General features: G+C 46.0%; 1 long non-coding RNA gene across 1 annotated transcript; it reads right to left on the bottom strand.

Annotated features, from left to right (window-relative positions):
- Nucleotides 1–5513: 5513 nt before the first annotated feature.
- Nucleotides 5514–8244, bottom strand: LOC124903771 (uncharacterized). The gene is made up of 2 exons (XR_007065195.1): nt 6811–8244; nt 5514–6428 (listed from the first exon to the last, which is right to left on the bottom strand). It is a non-coding gene; the product is annotated as an uncharacterized LOC124903771 (long non-coding RNA).
- Nucleotides 8245–8453: the final 209 nt, after the last annotated feature.

Here is an 8453-nt window from a genome sequence, read left to right as displayed (position 1 = left end):
AAGGTTATTTTCCAAGCCCAGAACTGCTCATGTCATTCTTCTGCCCAAGCCTTCAATGGCTTCTCATTGTCCATAGTGGTACTTAGTACTTACCCCGTGAGAATGCACATCAGAATCACCAGGGCAGCTTCTTCAAAATACAGATATTCCAGCTGAGAACGGGGGCTCATGCCTGAGAGGCCAAGGCGGGTGGATCACTTGAGACCAGGAGCTCAAGACCAGCCTGGACAACATTGCAAGACTACAGCTCTACACAAAATACAAATAAAAATAAGCTGGGCATGGTGGCGCATGCCTGTAGTCTCATGTATTCAGGAGGCTAAAGCAGGAGGATCACTTGAGCCCAGGAGTTTGAGGCTGCAGTGAGCTATGATCACACTACTGTACTCCAGCCTGGGTGACAGAGCAAGACCTTGTCTCTAAAAAATTAAAAAAAAAAATTCCACTCAGAGGGTTGGAATCAGGATATCAGGTTGTGAAAAAACACCCCCTGTGTGATAGATTAAATTATTAGTCCACAATTCTTCCTTGTCTCCCTGTATCACGATTCACTGTGAGCAGACAGGACTACCCCACACCACTGATGTTGGACTTGACTGTGTCATGCGTTCTGCTCAGTTGAATATGGGTAGAAGTGATGCTGTGCCAGTTCCAAGCCAAGGTCTGAAGAGGCATTGCACATTTCCACTCCTATCTCTTGCACTCCAGCTCTTCACCATGAGTTTGCTCCAGATGGACACTACCCTTTCAACCTGAGTCCCCAAATTACAAACATACAGAACAGGCTTGAACCCATCCCGTACCCTGGCCCAAGTTCAGCCAATACTAATCAAGTTCATCAGAGTCACCCCAGGCGATTTGCAGACCTGTAGTGAGAAAAATAAATTTTTGTTGTTGTATGCCCTGGTTGGGGTGGGAGGTCACTTGTTATGTAGCATTATTGTGGTAATAGCTAACCAAAGTATCAGATGATCCTAAAGCATGTCCCTGCTTAAGAACCACTAGACCAAAGGCTAAAGTCACAAACAATTCATCTGGCAATTGAGACCTTCCTTGGTCTTGTTTCCATCTGGCCTCATCTCCCAGCTTCCTCTTCTGAACCAATCAAGGTTCTGGGTGCTAAAACAGAATCCAATGCTCATGAACCCTAACAGAAAAGGGACTCCAAGGTGGCTGTAAAATCAAACTGAGAAAAAAATGGACGGAAAGCAGGGAAAGTCAGGCAGGTGTGGCCAGGGTCAGAAGAGGTCACAGGCATAGTTGAGGTGGAGAAAGAGACCACTGCTGGTTACCTGTGCACCAGGCGCTGGATCCTCAAGCTGCTGTTTGCAAGGAGGGTATCTCCAGCTCTCCCTGCTCCTTTGGAGAGAGAAGCATCCCATTGGCCAGCCATGCCTTGGCCATCAAAGAGAAAGAGAACATGTGTTAGACACCTAAAGGGAACAGGGGTCCCACATTGGGCAGCCAAGATCCCCACAAACATCCCCAGTAAGCTTCACATTCCCTACAAATAGGAACTGAGTTGATATGTGTAGAGCTCTTCAACTTTTCCTGGCATGTAGTAAATGCCATGTGAATGTTCTTAAAATAAATATTAAATATATAACTTTTAGACTATTGGCTAAATAAGACGCTTTGATTGTTCTTTTCAAGGACAACTCAAGAGACCTTTCTTGATCAGGTGGAAAGTGATGTTTCTTTTCTCAATGCCTCCAACACGCTTGATCTGCCTGTCCTTCTTGATGCAGCGCAGGAGCTAGAGTTATCTGTGGTCTTGTGAGACGTGAGGTTTTCCCCAGTGCCGAGGTCAATGCCTGAGGTCTTACAGGTAATCAGGAAGTACGGGTAGAATACCGGAGCAGAGGGACCTCTTGCCAACTGTGAAATCTGAGCCTGCCTCTAAACCCTCAAAACATGGGCCGTGGGAACAACCACTCATTTCTTTGCACTGCTGTGAGCCTGGGCCAGTGCGTGCAGCCTGATCCAGCACAGGGCCTGCTGGCAAAATGCCATGGTGCAAAAGGCTTCCAGGTGAGAATCCCTGATTGCTCAACCCCATATTTTAAACAATTACTCTCAGCTTTTGAGCTGAGCATCCTGCCTTTCCAAGTTTGCTGAGCCTACTATTTCGAAATACTTTGCAAATTGGCAGCTCCAAGAAAAAAGTCCTGGAGTCAGAGTGAGTGACCTCTGACCCAGATGGAACAGGCTGCTGAGTCTCACCTTCATGCTTTCTCTAACCCTGGCCCCTTTGTTAAAACACTCTTCAAGTCTATTGTGTAAATGAGCACCACTGAGGACAGGTAGCATGTTTCGTCCATACCTCCTCTGCTCCTTTTCCTGATCCCCAGTGTGCTTTGACTCCCAACAGCCAACACTTGCATCTCATTGTCAGAATGCTTTCTACAGCTTGCCAGACACTGCAACCAATGATTGGCAACATGGGAGTATCAATACCCCAGCTCCCTTGTTCCCTGCTCATGCAACTCTGAGTTGTGACTCGTATGTCTCCAAAGTTCACATGTGGAATTGAGCCAAAATTACCCTCTGTGGGAGTTTGCTTGATATCGGATCCTTGCCGGATCTGCTTCCCTTCCCTGCCCCACTTTCTCATCCCCTATACATTTCCTTCACTAAGAGTCTGCTTCTGGGAATCCAGCCTAAGACAGTAAAGAGAGAGGAAAATTTAAATGATAAAAATGGCCACCACTCTACTTTAAAATCCTTTCATGCATTAGTTATCTTAATGATCTCAAATACCCTACAAGGAATTCTTATCCCCATCTTAAAAATGAAGAAATCAAGTCTCAGAGAAGTTGAGTAACTTGCCCAAGTTATGTAGTTAGTAAGTATTAAGCCAAGAAGTTGTATTACATGTACTGCCTCCCATTAGAAAGATGCCATCAATAAGAACTATACATATTTCTTTAAGTTAAAATGAGAAAAAATACAAATCTAATAAGCGAATGTGGATAATGATAGTATGCATTTATAGGGGAAATTAAAGGCATAATGGTGATTGTTTTTATCTGTCATAGCTCCCCATGTTTACCCCATTTTCTTCTGGTATCAGATAGGGTAGGCATGCAACCAGAATTCCTTTGCCCACACTTTGCCTCTGCATACAGACTCAGGGTTGGAAGGTAGCAGACTCTTCTGCTGCTGATATCCTCTGAGATATAAGTTCCAGATCTGGTTCTTCAGCCCTTTCTTCAGTCCTTTCATTGAGACCACCCCAGGATTATTCCAATAAATGCCCAAAAGTCTCAGTTTAGTCAGAGCCCATTGTTACTGCTTGTCAACAAGACATCTCAAGTGATGTAGAAATTGGTATCAGGAGTAGGGTGTTAAAAGTGACCCATCCTAAAAATATGGAATTGGAGACTATATAAGCCAATAAATCCTCCTTAATTTTGTAAGCAGGTTTCAGTGGGATTTTTGCACCTGCATTCAAAAGACTCTTGGGTGGTGTATGAATAAAAAGGGATGGAAATGCCCCTTCCCTGAATAACCTTTCTTACACTACATGCCTATGCCTATTCTTCTTTTCGACTGTGTGATACATGTTTGCTTCATTCCTTTCCTATTTAACGTATATTCATGCTTTTCAAGGTAACAGAGGATAAGGAATCAGGTGGTCAGCTCAGGGAGGGAGCCATCTGATGTATCAGAAGGGAAAGGGCCTGGTGCATCATCAAAGAGATATTGTGGGCTATGGCAAGAGAGCTATGGGCCTGGGGAGTGGGAAAGCTTGGTTCTAGTCCCAATCCCAACTCTGACTTGCTGTGTGTCATTGGTCAAGAGTCTTCTGTCTCTGGGGCTGTGCCTCTCCTTTTACAGAATAAAAGGGGATCTCTAAAGTGCCTTCTAGATCCACCATGTTCAGATGTTTGGAGGAAATGCAAAGACACGTGGCCTACATACCATGCACAGACTGATGAGGTGAGAAGAGGTAGCAGCAGCAGGGTGCTGAGTCTAGGTGGGCCTCTCTGGGATTTCACCTGAGCATCTCTTTGAAGCTGTGAGCTCATAGGTGCTACATTTCTGCTATTCCCACATTTTTCTCCTCTGATCCTACCCCACTCATATTGTGGCAGAAACTGTCATCCATCCCCTAGAATCCTTTCTCCCTTTTTTCTTTTTAGTCATAGAATAGCCATATTACTAGAAACTACACTACTTTCCAGCCTCCCAGGCAGTTACATGTGGCCATATGTGAATGGCATGTGAACAGAAGCAATGTGTGCTAGCCCTTCCCATCTTCTCCCTGCCTTCTTGCAGACTGAAACATAGACACAGCACAGAGATCCAGCTTCCACCATGGAGAGGGCAGAGCACAGGATGGAAGTTACCTGAATTCCTGATCCACTTCATGGAGTCAAACTGCCTTCCATTCCCAGACCCCTTCCTTGCTTAGAGTTTTCCATGAGAGCAATAATCTTCCATCTTGTTGAACTTGCTGTATTTGGGGGACTGTTCTTACAGCAGCTTACTCCGTGCCCAAACCAATACCTCCTACCCCATCTCATTGGAAAATTGACACTGAAGAGTGTCAATTTTCAGACACTTTGCCAGCCAGGGCCAAGGAGCTAACCTCTACCAAGAAGAGAGGGAAGTCAAGACCAACCTGGGAAATGTGGCAAAATTTCATCTCTACAAAAAAAAGAAAAATACAAAAATAAACTGGGTGTGGTGGTGTGTGCCTGTAGTCCCAGCTATTCAGGAGGCTGAGGTGGGAGGATGGCTTGAGCCTGGGAGGCGGAGGTTTCAGTGAGCTGAGGTGGCACCAGTGCACTCCAGCCTAGGCGATAGAGTCAGACGTTGTCAAAAAAAAAAAAAAAAAAGAGGAGGAAATAGGAGTAGAAGAAAGAGGGGAAAGACAGACTTTATTGGACAGCCACCCTGTTCCAGGCATTTATCTCCATTATCTTGAAAGCCTGAATTTTATCATTGGTGACAAATGTGGTCCATTATTTTCCTTGAAGTGACTGGCACACTTTATTCATTTTCAAGAAAATGTCTACCAATACTTGAGATTGCATAACCATAATTTTTCTGTTAGTCTTCCTTTTTCAAGTAAAAATGATGTTCAGCTAGGTCAGCTAACAACTCAATTGCACAAGTACTTTTCCTTAAGACAACTATTATACTTCAGTATGCAGGAGAAATGTTTCATGCACACCTTCACTTGGTTGTACAGAATATTAAAATGTCTTGTACTCAAGGGTTGAAAAATGAAGAAGTTAATAAATTTTTCTGCTTCAAGGACATTCTTAAGTGACATTGTCTCTTTTTCTCTTTTTTGTTTTACTGCAAGAACGTCCCAGCCTGATGCGTGCTACCAGACTAGCAGGTTACTGGCTGTTGCTCTTGCACCACTAGTGCAAATGTCAACAGGGTAAAAAGGGCAAATGACATCTTAGTACTATTATGAAAACAGTTTTGACTTTCTAAACCCCCTGAAAGTGTTTTGGGGACCTCCAGGCATTCTCAGACCACACTATGATAAGCACTGCCTTTCTTTCATCAGCATGCCTTTATTCACAAGCATACAAATGCGCACACGTGCACACACACACAGAGTTTCTATCATTTGATTTTCAAAAGGGCATTTGAATATCAAAAAAAGGAAGGACGTCATCTCAGAATAAAGGATAATCCATTAGACTGGATGCATTTAGTTTCATGAACAACTTATGGCATTGTCCTTATTGTTCTGGTTTTTGCCAAGTCTAGGGGGCAGATGTTGGCATGGAAGACTGGTGTTTGGAAACCGCCTCCATCCTGACCCACCCCTTCTTACGCACATGAGAGAAACTATGATCTGAAAGGCCAAGCACTTACTGGGGTACACAGCTGAAAATGGTTCCACCGAGCTGGGCCCCAGGTTCGCCTCCAGACAGAGCACCACCTGTCAGCAGGGCTCTGGGCAAGAATTAAAACCCACGCCCACTCCTCCCAGGAGAGCTGGGAGCAGAACAGCCTGCTGGAAGCCCTCAGTGAGGTCTGTATGGACACAAGTTGAGTCTGAAGTGGATGGAGACCTCAGCGCCCTAATGAGAATCCCAAAGAATGGGTTTTATCTATTAACTAGCTGACACTGCTGGGCTCCTGCCCAACTCCCTTTCCCCATCCATTCCAGATTCCATCACCTGGGGTCATTTGGTAGGAGCCACACATGCTCATATGCAGACGTGTGCACATTGCACACACACCTGCCACACACCCACAAGTCCCCCTCCCATCCCCACTCCTCCCAATCACTCTACTCACATCCTCTCCATCCATCATGACCCCAGCCCTCTCTCACCACCCCGCCATTTCCACCACACCTGGGGACCCACACGAAGACCAGGGCCTGAGGACCAGAGCAGCCTCCCCAGGCAAGTCTCTTCCTGCCTTTGGAACTCAGTTTCCCAGCTGTAATCCTGCAAGGAAGATCAGAGAGGATGCACTGTCTCTAAAGTCCCTGCCAGTTCCCACATCTTATGGGTCTACAGTGAAAGAAGAGTGTTTTGAAAGTCACCCTGGCAGCCTGGGTGCGACGGGGAGAGAGTGGCCTTGGGGAGGCAGGAGGTGAGGGGTTGTCAACTGTGAGGTGCAGACAGCTGGAACTACCCATGACCAAAGCCCTGGGATTGAATGCGAAGGTCTGAGTCTGAGGGATGGGGTGAAAGTGAGCATAACATCTAACGGCTGTAGGAGTTGCAGTCTGGGGGGTGATAAGGACTCATCAGCAAGGACAGTGAACATGAATCAAGGTCTGATTTACCCTAGAAAATCCCCACAGGGACTCAGAGAGTGGCCTACCATTGTTCTAGGTACACAACGCCACGCCACCAACATAGAGCCGAATCTTCATCTCTTCTTGAGGGAGTTGGCTTCTGTAGGAAGCTGGGGTGGCAAGTTTTGTGTGTCAACTTGACTGGCCCATGGAGTGCTTAGACATTTGACTAAACACTATTCCGGGTGTGTTTGTGAGGGTGTTTCTGGAGGAGATTAAGATTTGAATCAGTAGACTGAGTCAAGTAGATCACCCTCCCCAGTGTAGATGGTCCTCATCCAATCCATTGAAGACGTGAACAGAAAAAAGGCTAAGAGGGAATTCCTCTTGCCTGACTGCTTGAGCTGGGACATGTGTCTTCTCCGGTCTCAGACTTGGACGGAAGCATCCATTCTTCCTGTGTCTCTAACCTGCAGGGTTCAGACTGAAACTTATACCACTGACTCTCCTGGTTCTCAGGTCTTCGGACTTGGACTAGAACTACACCTTCAGCTCTCCTGGGTCTCCAGCCTGCCAACTGCAGATATAGGGACTTAGCCTCTATAATTGCATGAGGGAATGCCTTATTATAATAAATCTCTTTCTATGTACATATCCTACTGGGGAACCCTGACTAATACAGAGGCCATGTGACATTATGCATGAAAATCATACTCAGACAGGAGCCATTCTCACAGGAGAATGGGGACTGAGGCTGCTCTCTGTCGTCGCATTCCCTCTGGAGCACATACTTGTCTCTGCCCATCCCATTTAAATTGTTATCTCTCTTAAGCCCATGCCATTAAACAATTGGAACTTGAAAAATAATAATAATAAGTAAATTGTTCTCCCTCTCCTTCTCCTCTCTCTGTCATTCCCATCTCTGTCTCACCTCTTTGTCAGTGGGATGAGACAGACCGGGAAGCAGATGCTGAGATGGAGTTAGGAGTGCAGTTTCTTGGGGGCAATGCCTGAGAAAGATACAAGAGGGAGGACGCAGGATCAGGCAGGAGGAGCCTCTGACTGCGATCCAAAGTTGACAAAGACTTGGCCAACTTCAAAGGGAGCTCCAAATCAACAACTGCCCATCTGAGGAACACCACACTGGCAAGAAAGAATATCACTTTTGGCCCTAGCACTCACGTTGTTCTCAGCCATTGGCTAGGAGCTCCTGAGAAGTCCATGGCCTCAGCTTGAAAGTCAAGGCAGACTCTGAAGATGCTGAAGTTGAAGGCTGTCTGCCAACTGCACTTCTTGTAGCTGAATGGCAAATTTTGCCTAAAGGGAGATTTAAGGGGTACACGTTCATGGCTGCCATATTGTGTGTGTGTGTGTGTGTGTGTGTGTGTGTGTGTGTGAATGTCTTTTTTGCTTCTTTTTTCTGCTTTGGTCAGGCATGTATAGTTGAGTTGAATGTATATAACATGCCTCATCTATAATACTTCTAATATCAGCTGGGAGCAGTGGCTCATGCCTGTAATCTCAGCAATTTGGGAGGCCGAGGTGGGCAGATCACGAGGTCAGGAGATCGAGACCATCCTGGCTAACACGGTGAAACCCCGTCTCTACTAAAAATACAAAAAAATTAGCTGGGCTTGGTGGTGGGCGCCTGTAGTCCCAGCTACTTGGGAGGCTGAGGCAGGAGAATGGCGCGAACCCGGGAGGCGGAGCTTGCAGTGAGCCAAGATCG

This window comes from Homo sapiens, chromosome 16, assembly GCF_000001405.40.
Source record: "Homo sapiens chromosome 16, GRCh38.p14 Primary Assembly".
Lineage (NCBI taxonomy): Eukaryota > Metazoa > Chordata > Mammalia > Primates > Hominidae > Homo > Homo sapiens.
Note: the sequence above shows the minus strand (reverse complement) of the source record. Positions and strands in the feature narration are given on the sequence as shown.